This window comes from Homo sapiens, chromosome 15, assembly GCF_000001405.40.
Source record: "Homo sapiens chromosome 15, GRCh38.p14 Primary Assembly".
Taxonomy (NCBI): Eukaryota; Metazoa; Chordata; class Mammalia; order Primates; family Hominidae; genus Homo; species Homo sapiens.
In genome coordinates this window covers 90,486,345-90,505,446 of record NC_000015.10, presented here as the reverse complement: position 1 = coordinate 90,505,446, position 19,102 = coordinate 90,486,345, and the positions used below count along the sequence as shown (strand labels likewise).

At 41.7% G+C, this 19,102-nt stretch overlaps 1 protein-coding gene across 1 annotated transcript in view; it reads right to left on the bottom strand.

Annotated features, from left to right (window-relative positions):
• Positions 3,208 to 19,102, bottom strand: part of IQGAP1 (IQ motif containing GTPase activating protein 1) — a 113,998-nt gene continuing 98,103 nt past the window's right edge. The window contains exons 32-38 of the mRNA NM_003870.4: positions 18,358 to 18,493; positions 17,865 to 17,952; positions 13,902 to 14,114; positions 12,736 to 12,902; positions 10,612 to 10,734; positions 8,107 to 8,215; positions 3,208 to 5,452 (exon numbers count right to left, since the gene is read on the bottom strand). Coding sequence (NP_003861.1) covers positions 5,339 to 5,452; positions 8,107 to 8,215; positions 10,612 to 10,734; positions 12,736 to 12,902; positions 13,902 to 14,114; positions 17,865 to 17,952; positions 18,358 to 18,493 — 950 coding nt within the window. The 3' untranslated portion in view covers positions 3,208 to 5,338. The remainder of the gene's footprint in view (positions 5,453 to 8,106; positions 8,216 to 10,611; positions 10,735 to 12,735; positions 12,903 to 13,901; positions 14,115 to 17,864; positions 17,953 to 18,357; positions 18,494 to 19,102) is intronic.

Genomic DNA, 19,102 nt, shown 5'->3' with positions numbered 1-19,102 from the left:
GCCTAGCCAAGAGACCAGCCTGGCCAGTACGGTGAAACCTCATCTCTACTAAAAATACAAAAATTAGCCAGGCGTGGTGGAGGGCTCCTGTAATCCCAGCTACTCGGGTGGCTGAGGCAGGACAATTGCTTGAACCTGGGAGGCGGAGGTTGTGGTGAGCCAAGATTGTACTCCAGCCTGGGCGACAGAGCAAGACTCCAACTCAAAAAAAAAAAAAAAAAAAAAATTACTGCAATCAAATATGCACTAATAACTGTAACTATGCAAAATGTTTTTCTAGATTGGGTTAATAGGCTTATGGTCACGAAAACAAATTTTTATTTTTGTTACAGATGACCAAAAATAAGATGTCCTTTAAAATATTTCACTAGGGTAAAATTCTGAAGGAAGCAGAGTAGAGAAAAAAAACGTTAAATTTGTAAAGATTTAAAATTTCCAGGGGCAGGCATAGTGGTTCACACCTGTAATCCCAGCACTTTGGGAGGCCGAGGTGGGCGGATCACTTGAGGTCAGGAGTTTGAGACCTGCCTAACATGGTGAAATTCCGTCTCTACTAAAAACACAAAAAATTAGCCAGGTGTGGTGGCAGCCGCCTGTAGTCCCAGCTACTCAGGAGGCTGAGGCAGGAGAATCGCTTGAACCTGGGAAGTGGAGGTTGCAGTGAGCCGAGAACACGCCACTGCACTCCAGCCTGGGCGACAGAGCAAGACTTCTGTCTCAAACAAAAATAAATAAAATAAAATAAAAAAGAAATAAAAAAGAAATTTCCAACTAAGAGCTTTGTTCATGTACCTTTAAAAATGAATGAAGGTGGGTTCCATTCGATATTTTTATGGTCATTTTTATATTAAAATTCACATGCTAGCAGGTACTCTTGATTTAAACATTAAAAATGTATTTGTCAAACTTAAAATGTGTGAAGGGATGTATACGTTTTCCCAAATTATTTTCAGGGATACACAGGCAAAAGAATGAGCAGCAGGGCTGTGACAACCCCGTCTCCCTCCCCGTTGGTGCAGTGGCACCACCAGCAGCAGCTGGGACTCCATGGCATTCACTCTGCCATTGCTCTGGGTTCCATCTTACTTTCCTACTTTTTTTTCTTTTTGTTTTTTGTGAGACAGGGTGTTGCTGTTACTCAGGATGGAGTGCAGTGGTGCAATCATGGCTTACCACAAGCCTCAACCTCCTAGGCTCAAGCAATCCTTCCGCCTCAGCCTCTTAAGTAGTTGGGACTACAGGTGCGCACCACCACGCGGGCTAATTTTTGTATCTTTGGTAGAAACAGGGTTTCAACATGTTGGCCAGGCTTGTCTCCAACTTCTGATCTCAAGCGATCCACCCGCCTTGGCTTCCCAAAGCGCTGGGATTACAGGTGTGAGCCACCACGTCCAGCCCCTACTCTGATTTTCCCTCTTATTTTTCTTATTTAATGTTGCTATACCTTGATAAGCTTTTTTTTTTTGAGATGGAGTCTCGCTCTGTTGCCCAGGTTGGAGTGCAGTGGCACGATCTCAGCTTACTGCAAGCTCCACCTCCCGGGTTCATGCCATTCTTCTGCCTCAGCCTCCTGAGTAGCTGCGACTACAGGCACCCATTACCAAGCCCAGCTGATTTTTTGCATTTTTAGTAGAGATGGGGTTTCACCGTGTTACCCAGGATGGTCTCGATCTCTTGACCTCGTGATCTCCCTGCCTCGGCCTCCCAAAGTGCTGGGATTACAGGTGTGAGCCACCGTGCCCGGCCGATAAGCACTTTTCTTTTTTTTTTTTTTTTTTGAGACAGAGTCTCGCTCTGTCCCCCAGGCTGGAGTGCAGTGGCATGATCTCGGCTCACTGCAGCCTCTGTCTCCCAGGTTCAAGCGATTCTCCTGCCTCATTCTCCTGAGTAGCTGGGACTACAGGCATGCGCCACCACGCCCAGCTAATTTTTTTTGTAGTTTTTAGTAGAGACAGGGTTTCACCATCTTGGCCAGGATGGTCTCGATCTCCAGACCTTGTGATCCACCCGCCTTGGCCTCCCAAAGTGCTGGGATTACAGGCATGAGCCACTGCACCCAGTCCTGATAAGCACTTTTCTAACTCCCTTGATTTCTTTGCAGGACAATATAGAGCATATTATTAAAATATTTCAGGTTTCAATAACAAAGCTACCAGACAGCATCCTTTCCATTTCAGAACGAGAAACCTGGGGCTCAGAAGGGTACCTTCCAGAGTCCCACCAGGAGAGCCATGCTCTTCCCCTCACTCTTCCTCAGAGGAGCATGCGGTCATCTCCAACCACTCGTACAAACCATCACCTCCAATTTTTCATTTTCCCTATTTTAGAATTATTCCGTTTCCCCCCTTATTTCAACCTGTCACTAATTTTCCAATATAGTCTGGCCACAGTTTACCAACACAACAGGATGCTTATGTACATGTTTGTATTTTTAAGTAAGGCTGCCCTCTGACAAGGAAGCCTTTTCTTTTCTTTTTGAGATGGAGTCTCGCTCTGTCTCCCAGGCTGGACAGCAGTGGTGTGATCTTGGCTCACTGCAACCTCCGCCTCCAGCTTCAAGTGATTCTCCTACCTCAGCCTCCTGAGTAGCTGGGATTACAGGCGTGTGCCACCACACCCAGCTAATTTTTGTATTTTTAGTAGGGGTTTCGTCATGTTGGCCAGGCTGGTCTTAAAACTCCTGATCTCAGGTGATCCGGCCCGCCTCGGCCTCCTAAAGTGTTGGGATTACAGGTGTGAGCCACTACGCCAGCCCCTTTTCTTCTTTTTTTACTGCTGTGATTTACTTTTTCCACATTCAACATCCCCTAGTCTTTTCTGGTGACTTCCAAGTGACATAGGAACCCCCTAAGGGGCACAGTCTATGTGCTCAACAACAGTATGCTGGTCAAAAAAGGTTAAATGCTGTTGCAATTTTAAACTTTCCACCGTTCGTCAATCAGAATTAAGTGACATATAATGTTTGCTTCCCGCAACACCCTTCTTTTTATGGTGAAGATAACTTAAGCATATTCATTAAAAAGGCTAAAGTCACACGTTCACACATTAAAAGTCACTTTGAGACATTCAATGATCTGATGGTGGACTTACGTTTTCTCCTTTAAAAGGAAGGGGTTGTCTGCTGTTGTGATTTTAACTGATACATCTCACTCTAGTCAAGGTGTTTAGCAGGAACTGTTAACAATGAAACTGAGAAAAACACAAACATGAACAAATGACCTTTTATTTCATACAGAGATACAAAGGCAACTATGTGCAGCAACAATCTGACGGGCAGTCCAAACTCTTGGGAGGAAGTAAATTCATGGTAAATGTCATGATGGCTGGTCGAGGAGAAGGTCAAAGGAGGAGAGAGAGGAGACAGAGAATGCTACAGCTAATAAATAACAGTAATGAGAACTGTGTGGTTTCAACGCCATGAGTTTGTTGGGGCATCCTCTGTGCTACTAAAGCCACAATTCTATATCATCATCATCAACATTCTTGAAGCGCATTTTACACTATTCTGCATTAGCAATTGTGTTGAGGGAACTATAAACCTTAAAATTACTGACACATTTTATTAAAGGAGCTGTAAACTCTGCTCATTATTGCCTGTCTTGGATGTGGCCTTTGGGATTCATAGCCTCTTTTAAGGAAACAGGGTTGACACACTTTGGTTGGTCCCAGTTTTTGAGGCAATGCTAGTTGTAATAGCATCATCTTTTAATCTGAGGAAAATGTTTCTTTAAAAAACCTGTCTTCCAAAATACAACAAAAAACAAGGTCTGGGTAGTGGCGAATCCTTCCATGGCACTCCATGCCTCCCTGTGGGCTGTAACCATGCACCTGAGTAAAGAGTCTCATAAAAATACTTCTCCAATGCATTTATAATAGGGACACACTACATAGTTTGTTATTCATTAAAGCAGTTTATTGGCTTAATGTACATCAGTGAATTTTTAAATGCTAAAAATTTATGATAAAAGAATACTGAATCAAAACATCAAAGAAAGAAAATAGAGGCTCAGCAGCATGATTTCAATATATTTTCCTGGAAAAAGTTTTTTTTTTTTTTAAAGTGTATGACTTTTTATCCAAGAACAAAAGCTTTCTAAATGCAATGTTTAGACTTGATTTTTTTTTTAAACTAAGCCCAGAAAACTGGGGCTCATAAAATAAAGGCACAATGTGGGCAGCAAGAGAAAAAAGGAGAAAAAATGGGGAAAAAATTGGTTTTAATCTCACGTGTAACATAGGTTGGCTGGTTTTGTTTTTGTTTTAGACAATTAAAGGCAGAATTATCTCCCTGAACACTGCAGATAAATCCTAGTGTTTTAGCTATAAGTTTCAAGAGTTCAGATATACAGATAAAGCAATTTAAAAAAAGCTTTTCTTATTCTAAGGCTTTTGATGCATTATATAAATCTTTAAAATTCCTATCACCCACATTTTAAGACATACATCTATACTTTAATAAGGCACTCTTAAGATATAAAACAGTTTTAAAAACAATGACATTCTACATTAGGGCTAACCCATTCCTCTGCCATAGGGATGGAGTGAATTGTCTCTCTGAATCAAGTCAATCTCTGTGCACCAACAAAAACAGGCAGGTGCCTTGACCCATTCTGAATTTATCTGAGTAGCTGAATTTTAGCAATGGGACTCTCCCATCCACTAGTCGGGGAGTTACACAAACAGAATTGCCCAAGTTTGATAATGAAATTTAAAAACATTATCTCCTTTTTTCTAGAAATGCTTCCTTTGAACATGACTGTCACTTCCATTAGCTCCTGTCCATAAAGAAAAACACAATGGAAGATAACCAATGATTCCCCATATCCTTCAGTTTTCCTGATGGGACAGAAATATAAAGGAACTTTATTTTTAAATGACAACCTAATAACTGTTAATAACATGACATTTTAGTTGTGTGTCTTGTATGTATTTATGTCATTGGTGCTAATAGCTTCCACTTCTAAATGACACACATTTGAATCCTACCATCCCTATTGCTAATTAAACAAACACCAAAGCTTACAATATAGTACTGCAACCTCTAAGACTGTAACAACACAGAGAAATTTTAGTGGAGTTTCCACTCTTTCCTAAGTAATGGAAGAAAATGAAGAAACCAGAAAGGTCAGACTAAGCCTGAAACACAATTTCACTATGAAAAAAGGGTAACAAATGTCCCATCAGAGCGAGAGGAGTTAAAAATGTGGCATCGGGAGTGTATCAGATTGAGGTGCTGTTGTTGGCTAGGTCTTTGCTTCCAATGAGGAAAGAAGGACCTAGAAAGGAGCTGTGAGGTGCTTCTTTCCTTCATCCTTCTGGGCTGGCAGCAAACGATCAATTACTTCCCGTAGAACTTTTTGTTGAGAAGGAAGATCAGGAGGTTGACATTTACTTTAGCTCTATCAAATAATTTCATGACTGCAACTCCTTCATACTGTAGCTGCAGCAGGTCCTATTAACAAAACAAAACAAAACAAAACAAAACATTTTGACAGTTAATCAAGTCTGTGGAACAAGGAAAAAGGACACAATGTAGGGAGGGATCCAGATGGACTGAGGCCTGCCTTGTGTGCCAGATGTGAACTGGGGCGAAAGAAAAGTTCCACGCTAGGCAACTACCCACTGCACAACCAGCCTGAGAGCTGGAGCAATAGGGCACATTGGCCAAGGGAGGCTTCTGGTTGATTTGGAGTTAGGAAGTCATGTTGTTCATATCAAAATTCATCATACATGGAAAGAAAAAGAAACATGTTCAATTGCCACACACATCTAAGCTTTTTATTTCAGAAGTCACAATGACATTTTCCCATTTCATCCATGTTATGGGTCACTAGTTTTAATAAATCTGGAAAAGGTGAAGCATTTAAACCTATGATGAAATATACTAAGCACGGGGAAATGAGATAAGGCTAGTAATGTCACCTTAATACTATCTGATAGATTCTTAATTTCTATTCCATATGAGAACACTTTCTATCCCGAAGGCAAGGGGAAAAGAGAGAACTTGATGTTTTATTAGGTGTCTGCCATGTGCTTGGCATTGTGTAAGCACATTACATAGTATCTTTTAAAGTCCTCACAAAAATTTTTATGAGGTGCGATTATTCTAACTTTAAAGATGAGCTACTGAGACTCAGAGATGTTAAATGACTTGCACAACAGGACAGAGATGGAGGCGATAAATCCAGATCTGACTGCAATGCTCCCGCTTTTCCTGCTACTTTCACCATTGTCCTGAACAAGTTTAAGAAATCTGAGTGGTCTCACTTCTGAACTTTATAAGAGTGGTGATGAGAAAGCAAGGGTCAAAAGTCTTGAAAGGACCCCACAAGGCCGGGTGTGGTGGCTCACGCCTGTCATCCCAGCACTTTGGGAGGCCGAGGCAGGCGGATCACGAAGTCACGAGTTAGAGACCAGCCTGGCCAACATGGCGAAACCCTGTTTCTACTAAAAATACAAAAATTAGCTGGGCGTTGGGGCGTGGTGGTGCACGCCTATATTCTCAGCTACTCAGGAGGCTGAGGCAGGAGAATCACTTGAACCCAGGAGGCGGAGGTTGCAGTGAGCCGAGATTGTGCCATTGCACTGCAGCTTGGGCAATAAGAGCGAAACTGTCTCAAAAAAAAAAAAAATTAGCCGGGCGTGATGGTGTGCGCCTGTAATCCCAGCCACTCAGGAGGCTGAGGCAGGAGAATCACTTGAACCCACGAGGTGGAGGTTGCAGTGAATGGAGAACACGCCACTACACTCCAGTCTGGGAGACAGGGCGAGACTCTGCCCCCCCCTCCAAAAAAAGAAAGGACCCCACAAGTTCAATTATCTGTTGGAAAAATCCTAGCAGCTCCATGAGGGCTGCTGGGACCTGTGCCTAACAGAATACCCCACACCTGGCAGTTACCCCACATTTAATGAATTTGTACATAAATTAATAAATTACCACAGGCAGACTGGTTGGCCTAACATGATTTGGTTAAAAAATTTAAAAATAAAAATATGTTCTGATAACTCCACGTAAATAAAAAATTTTAAATTAAAAAAATAATTTGGTGAAACTGAGGGAATAAGAGGTTCCTATTCTTTTTTTTTTTTTGGTGGAAGTACTTTAGTTAGCTGTGTGCATCACAAAATCATTTCACATTTGTTTAGCTAACATGTTTTAATGGTCTACTGGTCATTGAGAAGGAAACGAAGATGACTAAGAAATGCTACCTGTCCTTAAGGAGTTTATGGCTTTAGCGGGGAGAGGGGAAGTAAGTCAACACCTACTGTAAACAGAGGATGTCTGCAAGGGCTACAGAAGCGAAGGGGAAACCACCTATTATGGCTTGGCTGGGGGAGGCACACCCATGGAAGTACTCCATGGAGGAACAAAAGGGGCGGGGTTGGGAGGCAGGGGAGGGGAGGGAGGGCAGCATGAGCAGAAGCCCAAATGTACATTGACAGGAAGGCACCTGCCCGGGCTGGCAGGGCATGGCTGTGTGAAGCAGTGCAAGAAAGGAGAGAGAAGCAGACTAACCGGTGCCACACACACAAAGCTAAAGGAGTCTGGATGTCACCTAGGAATCCTCTCGATGCCCTGTTATTTTTTAACGTGTAAAAATCAGATATTTCAAAATAAAACTTAGGGATCTTTATGCTACAAAAATGAATTACTCCCGAGTTCTTTTTGGATTTAAGATAGAATTCAGTTTACAAACATAAACTTTACACACACCTTGTCAGAATGTATCTAACTTTTAAGTACCTATATCAAATCAAAATGACAAAAAGATTTCAAGCTACTGAGTGGGCTTAGAATTCTGCAGTGTCAGCATGTGTACTTCTGCATTTTGTTCAAGTCCAAGGTGTCAGCTCGATTTAGTGGCAGCACTAAGTGGAAGCTTCAGCTAAATGTTTTCTGAAGAGTGACATCTGCAAAAGCTCTCCAGAGCGCACACACCAAACCAGACATGCTGAAACCCTCAGCTTCTTTCCCCGCAGTGTGGAGCCTAGCTCACTGCTGAATGTAGACAGCTTTCCTCAGATGAGTCTCCTCTTTATCTATTTCTCCTACTTGGACAAGAATCTCATCCAGAAAGTTTTTGGTTCCTGCTGGTGCATACCCACCTGATAATGTAACATAAAAGTCTCCATTTGAACTCCCATGAATTTGGCTTTCACTTCGAAGTCTCCAACTTCTTCTGTTGGACTGATTTCAAATATAACATTTTTAAACCTGTTGAAAGATAACATCGTAAGGGTATGGTTTTTATATTCTCATATAAAAATATTCTGTGAAATGGGGAAAGGAGATGAACCAAGTCTTCAAGAGTGAAAAGGGCTGCAGAAAATACAGGTCAAAAGTACTTCTGCAGCTGAAGCAGCACAGATTGCCAAGCCCAAGTACCATCTGCTCTGGGACTTGGAGAGAGGAATGGCAACCTCTCTCTGCCTGCAGCACTTACATCCTATCAAAGAGGAACCACTGAGGAGTTCCACAAGTGGCGTGTGAAGGGATGACATCATAGGAATTCTCTTCACTTCCACATGGCCAAAAAGGAAACCTAATGATAAAAGGAGAAAACGGAGGACACTGGGGAAGGAGAGGGTGTATGTGTTTGAATACATGCATGTTTGAGGACTGGGAGAAGTAAATAAACAAAAGGGGGTCCGTATAAAAAGCACCAAGGGAGGAGGTTTTCTAGAAAGAGTAGGTGCTGTGTATATAAGCACACTCAGTATTACCAAAGATAAATTGTTATTATTGAACGTATTTAAGTTATCACTCATTCACAATATGTTACGTGCCAGGAAATTTTGGGGGGCCAAAAGGAAAAGGTATTATGCAGCCGGGCACAGTGGCTCACATCTGTAATCCCAGCACTTTGGGAGACCGAGGCGGGCGGATCACGAGGTCAGATCGAGGCCATCCTGGCCAACATGGTGAAACCCTATCTCTATTAAAAATACAAAAATTAGCTGGGCATAGTGGCATGCACCTGCAGTCCCAGCTACTCAGAAGGCTGAGGCAGGAGAATTGATTGAACCCGGGAGGCAGAGGTTGTAGTGAGCTGAGTACCATACCCTATCACCACTGCAGTCCAGTCTGGTGATAGGGCGAGACTCCGTCTCAAAAAAAAAAAAAAAAAAAAAAAAAAAAAGGGATTATGCTGTTCTCTGGATGATCAAAGTATAGCACCCCAGATTTCCAGAACTCAACTATGGAGCTGCCTTACCTATTACGAACAGGGCTGAGAACCATGAAAGATGCAAAAAGGTCACTGAGAGTTAAAGAAGTCACAAAAACCCATGCACTGAAACACACATGCATCTTATTCAACTGGAACGCCTCACGGGTTATTCCTTAAACATATTTATCTTAAGTGATAAATAATTTTACCAGATTTAGTTGGCTATTTAGTTTCTAAGCCCATAGGAGCAAATTAAAAAGAAGACAGAAAGGCAAATAGAGGTAGGCACTTGAACAGTAGTGGAAGATAATGACCTATAATAATAAATAATAATAATAATAATAATAATAACATAATAATAAAGGCCTGTAATCCCAAAGGAGGCTGAGGTGGGTGAATCACATGAGGTCAGGAGTTTGAGATTAGCCTGGCCAACATGGTGAAACCCCATCTCTACTAAAAATACAAAAACTTAGCTGGGTGTGGTGGTGCATGCCTGTAGTCCCACCTAATTGGGAGGCTGAGGTGGGAGAATTGCTTGAACCTGGGAGGCCAAGGCTGCAGTGAGCTGAGATCGCGCCACTGTACTCTTGGGTGACAGAGAGACTCCGTGAAAAAAAAAAAAGAAGAAGAAAAAGAAGAAGAAGAAAAAAATATATATATATGTATTTATATATAAAGTAGTTAAATACATAAGTGGGTGAGTCGTGTATAATCTTTATGTGAATAGAAAAAAATACATTAAAACGATTTCAGTGGTTATCTCTGGCTTGTGGAATTACAGGTGTTTTCTTTTTTATGCTTTACTGTATTTTCAAAGTTTAATAACGAATACATATTATTTTAGAATTAGAAAAATGTAAAAGGTTCTTTTTTTAAAAGTTGTTTTTTTTCCCCCCCTAAACAGACAAAAGAAGAGAAAGATCAGTAGCCTGAGGTCACAGGGCTGACTGAGCAGATGCTCAATAAATGCTTGCTAATGACGCTGGGCCCAGGACCTGTGGGAGGATGACATGTCAGGTCCATGAACCACGTGCAAAGCAAGCTGATACTTCCCAGAAAAGCAAATGAAGATAAGTGCCTGGTTCCTAGCTATAAGTGGAATAAAGCAAACTCCTCTTATTGTTACTCTTAATTTATTCTTGGTTCAGAAACAGAAGAAATCCAAGGAATGGCTTCCTGCTTTAATGAGGAAAAATTAAGATCAGACCCAAATAAGTGAACATGACCTGAGACAAATGTTCTACAAACAAGGAAAAGAAAAACTCTTTTATGACAAATTAACTCTGAGTATGAGGCCTAATTCTACACATAAAAATATATAAATACATAAAAAATACTAAAAGTAACCATCCAGAAAAGAGAAATGAAGACAAAAAGGCAAAGATGTGATAAATGTAGAAATAAAAATCAACTTATAAAACAAAAAGCAAAGACTCACTGATTCACTTGCAGGTCCTCAATTTCCAGAAGAACTCCTTTTTCATGTAGTCTTGCTGCTGTATATTTCAGAGAAATCTTTTTGCTTTTCTTTCCTTTCATTTCCCTAGGCTTTTTGGAGACTCTGTAAAAATCACATCATGTCACTTTCTATAAGTAACCATCTACTCTGAATCTTCATCATTGGTAACTGAAGGAAACATGTCAGAAACCAAACTTCCAGACATAAGCATAAGTAACATACCAACTCTAAAATGGCAAACAAATGTTAGAATTAGCCTAAGCAATATCTCTGCAAAACAGGGGAAATATTACTAAATTGCTTCTATTTTTAGTTTAAATTATATTTGAGAACACTCCCATGAATTTAACAGTGTCTTAATCCTCCCATGTCCTTCTGGGAACTTAAGTACCTAACAAGTAACTAGGAGAGCTTCGTATGCCAGCTGAGGGAATGGTACTGAATCCCAGGAGTGAAGGAGTTACTCTACGCCCCTCAGCTGTGTAGGGAAAAAATTAAAATGTCATCAAATACTTTTTAAAAGCGTTTAAGCCAGCACAGCAATTACAGATGAATGAAAATAAGGAAAAAGAAACAGGTTAGGAGGCTATTAGGATAATCAAGGCAAGAAGTGCTAACTTCAGAAATATGCCCACATTTGCAAAATGACATATGTACAAGAGGTTATTTGCTGCAGAATTTAAAAAATAATAACAAACAACTGGAAACAACTTAAATGTCCATCAATGGAGAACTGCTGAAGTCAACTGTTATATCTATCTGCATAATGGAATAATATGCAGCATTAAAAAAAAATGAGAATCTAGGTCTGTCTGCTTAGAAGGCCTGGAGGCCATGACAAATCTGGCAGTGAACACACCTAGTTCTAGATCTTGGTTTCTAAATACCATTCTTCATTCAAAGAAACCAGGCATGCTTGGAGAAACAGTTCATTCTGGCCCTGGGGAGGGGAAACTACAGGTTGAACATGAAACATCTTGTGTCAGAAAGTCAGGAAGTGCACAAGGAACAATGAAAACACATCAAAAGCTCACAGGAGTCAGATCTGCAAGCAGGGTTAGGTGGGCCTGTTTTTCATCCCTTCCATCACCCATGCCTGACCCCAGAGAGTCTTCCATGGAAAGAGAGAAACAGAGGACATGCAAGAGCCAGGGAAATGGGAAGCAGATATGGCAAAATATTAAAAATGGGTGAATCTAGGTGAAGGGCACATGGGTGCTTATTGTTCTATTCATTCGATCTGAGATTTGAAAACTCTTAAAATAAAAAGTTAGGAATAAATAATAAACTACCCTGCAAGTAAAACCTGCTCTTATCACCCACCTCTCTGGGTTTTCAATTCCCTCCCTGTAACATGGGCATGCTGATAGTTTGTGGCCAGTGCCAAGAAGGCTGGATCAGACTTTCCTCAGCACCCAGGAAAAAAAATCAGAGCCTGTGATCTTGTCCCCAGGAAGTATAGAGAGGAGCAAGGGGACCCAAATTTGTATAATATTCCTTAAGTGATTCTGGGACCAGCAGATGATCTCCTTTCATGATTTTAATTTCTAAGGCCAAGAAGATTTTTTTTTTTTTCCAGAGTCTTGTTCTGTCGCCCAGGCTGGAGTGTAGTGATGCAATCGTGGCTCACTGCAACCTCCATCTCCCAGGTTCAGGTAATTCTCCTGCCTCAGCCTCCCAAGTAGCTGGGACTATAGGTGCGTGCCACCACACCCAGCTAATTTGTATATTTTTAGTAGAGATGGGGTATCACCATGTTGACCAGGCTGGTCTTGAACTCCTGACATCAAGTGACACACCCGCCTCGGCCTCCCAAAGTGCTGGGATGATAGGTGTGAGCCACCTTGACAGGCCCCAAGAAGATATTTTGCAAAAGGAATACTTAGCGATAAGCATCCATGAAATCCCCCACCCACTATTCACATCATACACTTACAAATGGAATTAGGCAATTACACAAATGATTAGAGGTAAAATAAAAGACTAATGCAATAAATAGATCCAGTGTATTTTAAGTAAAAATTTCCAGTGTCATTTCAGTTGCCTCTGCTTTTTCCTCACTCTAATTCTGACATTGATTCTTTAAAAAGAAAAAATACTCACTTGCCCTTGCTGGCTAAGTTATCCAAGCAGGTTTTGATATAGCTTTTATAGTAATCCACCTGCTCCCCATAAAAGGTGGCCTTAGAGTTCAGAGCAGCGTATGTCTGTTGCAGTTTCACTAGTTCGGCCTTTCTCCTCTGTCGGTACCTCCGCTGATTCCGAATATCCTGAGACATAATTATTAAAGTTAGAAAAATAACGACAGTTATCATTATCATTTCACACTACAACCCAGCAATGCTTAACTCTGCCTTAAATATGACTACCTACTTTTTTTTTTTTTTTTTTTTTTAGACACTCTGTTGCCCAGGCTCGAGTGTGCAGTGGTTGACGGCTTCCTGTAGCCTCAGCCTCCCAGGCTAAAATGATCCTCCCACCTCAGCCTCCAGAGTAGCCAGGACTTACAGGCACATGCCACCACATCTGGCTAATTAAAAAACTTTTTTTTGTAGAGATGGGGTCTCAAGCGATCCTCCTGCCTTGGTCTCAGAAAGTGCTGAGATTCCAGATGTGAGCCACGGTGCCTGACCTAACCATACATTCAACAGGCAGTAATTTGTTTTCACAAATTAACAGAGAAATTCAGATCTCAAATTTTCTTCCCCCATTTGTATCTTCTAGCAGGGAAATGTGTTACATTTAGACTTACACATTTTTAGAATTTACTTGCAAAGCTGGTTTGGACCTCTTAAATATTTTGTTGGGAAAGGGAGAAAAAGAGAACTATAATACATCAACTACCAGTTCTCAGGTGTGCATAATATTATCTTAGTGCAACAGCACAGAACACCTAAACTCTTAGTCCTCACCAAAGCCCCTCGCTTGAGATGATTCATACAAATCAACGATTTAATCAGCTTGATGTGAATTTATATTTCACAGTAATCATGAAAAAGATCTGGAAGAATTCTTTAAGGCTGAAGACAAATTCTTTAAGGTCATAGGAGGCTCCAGTTAAGGTCCTCTCCCTAGTAATTTAGGCCATGGAATAAGCCACCTCAGGTCGGGCAAGGCCCTCATGCTGGAGAGTCAGATATGGTTTCTCATAGAGGAGGGCACTAATTTGCCCATGAACTGAAGCTATGCTGTTATGTGAACAGCTACTGTCTCTCGAGCCTCTCAGCTTTGAACAAGGCCGGGTCCCCTCTGTCCCCCGAATGCAGTACCCTGGCAATGTCGTTGATCAGTTCCTGGTATTTGTTCTTTGGGTCCACGGTTCCAAGCTCTGTTAGCTTCTTTAAACCTGTCTGGATCTTCTCTTTCTTCTCTTGAAGAGTGAGGTTGCTGTCTTCCTTTACAGATTTTGACTTTTTCATCTTGTCAGGTGTTTTGGCATCACGGATAGCACGTCTCTGCATGGCTCTCTGATGTTCTGCTTCCTACGGATGGGAAAAAGAAGTTCTTAGCAAGTTTACCACACTAATCCTAAACTTGAATTTATATAGCACATTTGCACCTGAACTTATACAGTTCTTAAACTCCAACCTTGAAACAGAAGGAAACAAATTCTGCCCCCTGCCAAATGATAGATGAAAAATTGCATGAAGCAGAGGCACATCTCTTTCCACCTAGAAGAGATGATATCTACAAAATCACACAACTGGGCTAGGCGCGGTGGCTCATGCCTGTAATCCCAGCACTTTGGGAGGCCAAGGTAGGCGGATCATGAGGTCAGGAGTTCAAGACCATCCTGACTAACACGGTGAAACCGTCTCTACTAAAAGTACAAAAACAAAATTAGCCGAGCATGGGGCGAGTGCCTGTAGTCCCAGCTACTCAGGAGGCTGAGGCAGGAGAATGGCGTGAACCCAGGAGGTGGAGCTTGCAGTGAGCCAAGATCGCGCCACTGCACTCCAGTCTGGGCGACAGAGCGAGACTCCGTCTCAAAAAAACAAAAAACAAGCAAACAAACAAATCACACAACTGCTTAGGTGCTTAGGGCTTCTTTCCTGGACTCCAGGTACAATCACCGAGACTGGACTCTACTGGCTACAAAGTCATTTTTCTCTACCACATTTTGAGACATGGAAGCCATTTAATTTTATTAAAAACATAGCTGTATAAATGTTATAACTATACTAATACAACAAGACCAGTGCTTAGTAAATCCTTGCTAATTCTTTGTGTCACTTTGTCACAAGGTGGAATCATGCTCGAGCCTTGCCTCTGCTTTCAAACATTCTGCAGACACCACAATCTAACAGGGAAACACCTTCCCTTGATACTGCCATCCTTCATAGTCGCCATCCTTCATAGTCACCGTCCATTGTCTGTCCCTGTCCAACATATGATCTACACTCACTGTTTCGTTCTTTCAGCACTTTCTTCTTTACTGCTCTTATCACCAATTACCATTCCCCTGTCCAAAATCCAAAGCCTTTTCTGTCACCTTGCTCATCTTCTCTGCACTGTCTTCTTGCTCTATGCATGGTTTGGTACTTCTATGTGATCTGTGACCATTTCTCTCTGTTTACTCTCAATACTTCATTGACTGCCTCTGTGTTGACAGATCCTAAATCTTTGTGACCATGGCTCTGGTGCCATATTCTGAGCTGTTTGTACTGGGATGTTTACATTCGGGATGGCTCATAGTTCAAACTTGTAATTCCCCCTAACTGGAGCAATTCCCTTTCCCAATAGTCCCCTTTTTTCTAATGTCAAGACTACTCTGCATCACATAATGTAAACAGCATAAGCTTTGGAGGCAGACAGAACTGGATCCACCTCCGGTTCTGTCACTGCAAGCTGATGATCTTAGCCAGTTAACCTGTAAGGGTCTTGGTTTCCTCATCTGCAAAATAAGGATGAAAAGACTCGACTCATGGGAATATTGTAAGGATTAAATTAAAGAACAGAGGTGAGAGCACCAAACACATACTAGGTTCTCAATAAAGACTGGCTCCTCCTTCCTTATTTCAAATTTCTTTCTAGGTTCAACATGTTTCAAGTATTGGTTTACATGTCCTTACTTGCCTTTCACACATATCTAATCAGTAATCAGTCATAGCAACTGACAGCTGAGACTTCATTGAAAACAATGGTTTCCAAATAGTTCTCTGTGCAGCCTCAAGAGTTTGCCAGAGGCATCACAGAGTCCTATAGGGCTGGATTTCAGATGCCCTATTGCTGGCTATCAGAGTAGCTCCAGAGTAGCAGAGTACCTGCTCTATATACTGGGCTTTTAGCTAAGTTGTCATTTAATGAAACAGATTACCATGCTTAAAATTTGAGAATGAATGACTTGACCTACTTTCCTTACTTGACAAATGAGAACAGAGGTCTATGGCCGGGTGCAGTGGCTCACACCTGTAATCCCAGCACTTTGAGAGGCCACAGTGGGTGGGTCATTTGAGGTCAAGAGTTTGAGACCAGCCTGGCCAACATCGTGAAATCCTGTCTCTACTAAAAATACAAAAATTAGCCAGGTGTGGTGGTTCACACCTGTAGTCCAGCTACTCGGGAGGCTGAGGCAGGAGAATCGCTTGAACCCAGGAGGCGGAGGTTGCAGTGAGCCAAGATCACGCCACTGCAGTCCAGCCTGAGTGAGAGTGAGACTCTGTCTCAAATTAAAAAAAAAAAAAAAAAAGAAACAAGGGTCTTAGATATGACATGACTCATCCAACCCTACAAAATGCCAGGACCCAACCATCTGCCCACCCCACTGGACCTTATCACACACCTATATGACTCAACTACATCTGCTCTAATAGCACTGCTGAATTAATTAACTTTTATTAAATGGTCTTCAACCTTACAGAGGCTCTTTATTCCTTATCTCTGCAGTGACAAATTCCCATCTAGTTTGTGAGTTCTAAATAATTTGGTCTCATGTTTTATTTCTCACTACTCACCTCCACCCACAGCTCCATTCTAGACATGTAGTCTAGTCGCATCATGCTCTTCCCTCCTTTGTACCTTTGTTCACATCGCTCTCCTGCCTCGAATGCCCTCTCTTGTCTTACATGCACACCCAAATCCTTTCCACCTTTATACATCTGGCTCCGGTTCCACTTCTTTTAGGAAGCTTCCTAATGCACTGCTTCACTGGCCTCTTTCCTGAAACTTCTCTTATTTTTCAGTCAGTAACATAGTTAATTTTGAAACAGTTCATCACTGTTTCAGGTATATATGTCACATTTCCCCAACAAGACCATGGGTTCACTGAGTTTAGGAGCCACATTCTGTACTTTTCTTCTATCTACCAAGGCATGTAACAGAATTCAAAATATATAATATTCAATAAATTGCAGTGAACCCTACACATTCATGGTTTCAACCAACCCTGAAACTGTTTGAAAAAAAAATACAACAATACAAAATAATACAAATTTTAAAAATACAGTAACAACTATTTACACAGCATTTATATTGTAGTAGGTATTATAAGTAGTCTAGAGATGATTTAAAGTATATGGGAGAACGTAAGTATATGCAAATACTACAACATTTTATTTATTTATTTATTTATTTATTTATTTATTATTATTTTTTGAGACGGAGTCTCGCTCTGTCGCCCAGGCTGGAGTGCAGTGGTGCGATCTTGGCTCAATGCAGGCTCCGCCTCCTGGGTACATGCCATTCTCCTGCCTCAGCCTCCCAAGTAGCTGGGACTACAGGCATCTACCACCTAGCCTGGCTAATTTTTTGTATTTTTAGTAGAGACGGGGTTTCACGTGTTAGCCAGGATGGTCACAATCTCCTGACCTCGTGAACTACCCACCTCAGCCTCCCAAAGTGCTGGGATTACAGGCATGAGCCACCATGCCCGGCCAAATACTACACCATTTTATATAAGGGACTTCAACATCTATGGATTTTGGTATTGGCCGGGGGTGGGGAGAATGGGTGCTGGAAAGAATCGCCTGTGGATACCAAGGGATGGATATACGGGATGGGCACAATGATTCTGCATGCAAGTGCCAGTGAGCTTCCTGTCCAAAGGACATCACCTGGACTCAGGAAGCAAAAACTTTCTCAGACGAGCCATAACTACCACTGTCCCCCAGTTACATTCATGCTCACCCCTAGGCTACCAACTGTTATTTGTGTCTCCCCTCCTTTCTCTGACATGCGCCTATCGGGAGAGCTTATCTACCAAACAAAGGAGTATGTTAGACCCTAAATTTTACCTGTTCACTGGTGGCTGGTGTTTCTAGGATTTCAGTCAAGGTCTCTCCTGGCTGGAACCGGATGACATCCACAATTAAACGTTTTGTACTGAAACGAGATGGGGGAGGCATTTAAATATTACCAGTGTTCTAGTTCCTCTCAAGTGGACCGAAGCAGCAGCAGCAGCAGCAGCACAAACAGTACCTCACAGAAGTCCCAAGCGGCAGCTGCCAGTACACAGTACTCAAGGCACAAGGCTTATTTACCCAGCCATTCCATAAGTAGGTACGAGGGTTAGGATTTCCAAGATTTACATTTCACTGTAGCATATTAGCAAAATAAGGCAGATAAGTCCTGTACCAAGTACAATATGCGAGGTGATTGGTGACTGGGATTATGACAAGTACGAGAGGTCAGGATGGTCATTTCAGGTAGGACCCAGCAGGTTCCTCTCCAAAGGCCAAGAAACCTTCAGATTACATTCATTTCATTCTTCCTTCTTTTGATACTCACTTCAGTAAGATGGTTCGAGCATCCATTTCTGCATTCTCATCTCCAGGCACGTCGAACTTGTTGGTCAGGGTGAGAGACACTTCCGTCTTAGCCAGTGCCTCCTTATTTGGGTCATTTAAATTGCCAGAGCTTTCCCCTGAAGTTTTGGGAGGGTGGAAAGAGTCAGCGTAATAAAGAGAGGAGATATTGGGGGGAAATAATACAAATATAAGATGATGCAAGTCTAAGATAATACTTGAATCACCTAACACATACAGTGTGACGAGAACAACTTTTACTGAGAAATAAAATGTTATGCCAAATGATAAAGGCAAGGGATCCATAATAACTCCATAAATGTTTGAGAAATCATTTCAACACTACAATATCACAATTCTCTCTGAAAACATTCTTTCTGGCTGGGTGCAGTGGCTCAGTCCTGCAATCCCAGCACTTTGGAAGGCTAAAGGAGGAGGATGGCTTGAGGCCAGGAGTTCGAGACCAGCCTGGGCAACATAGTGAGACTCCATCTCTATTAAAAAAAAAAAAAACAACTCAGGAGGATCACTTGAGCCTAGGAATTTGAGGCTGCAGTGAGCTATGACTGCACCACTGTACTTCAGCCTGGGCAACAGAGGGAGACCCTGTCTCATAACAAACAAACAAAAAAATTCTTTCCTTTAGAGGACTTTTAATTTATGTATCTGCAATTTTTTTAAAAAAACACAAGCTGGCAGTATGTATCTGCGTTTAAAATGATCTTTTC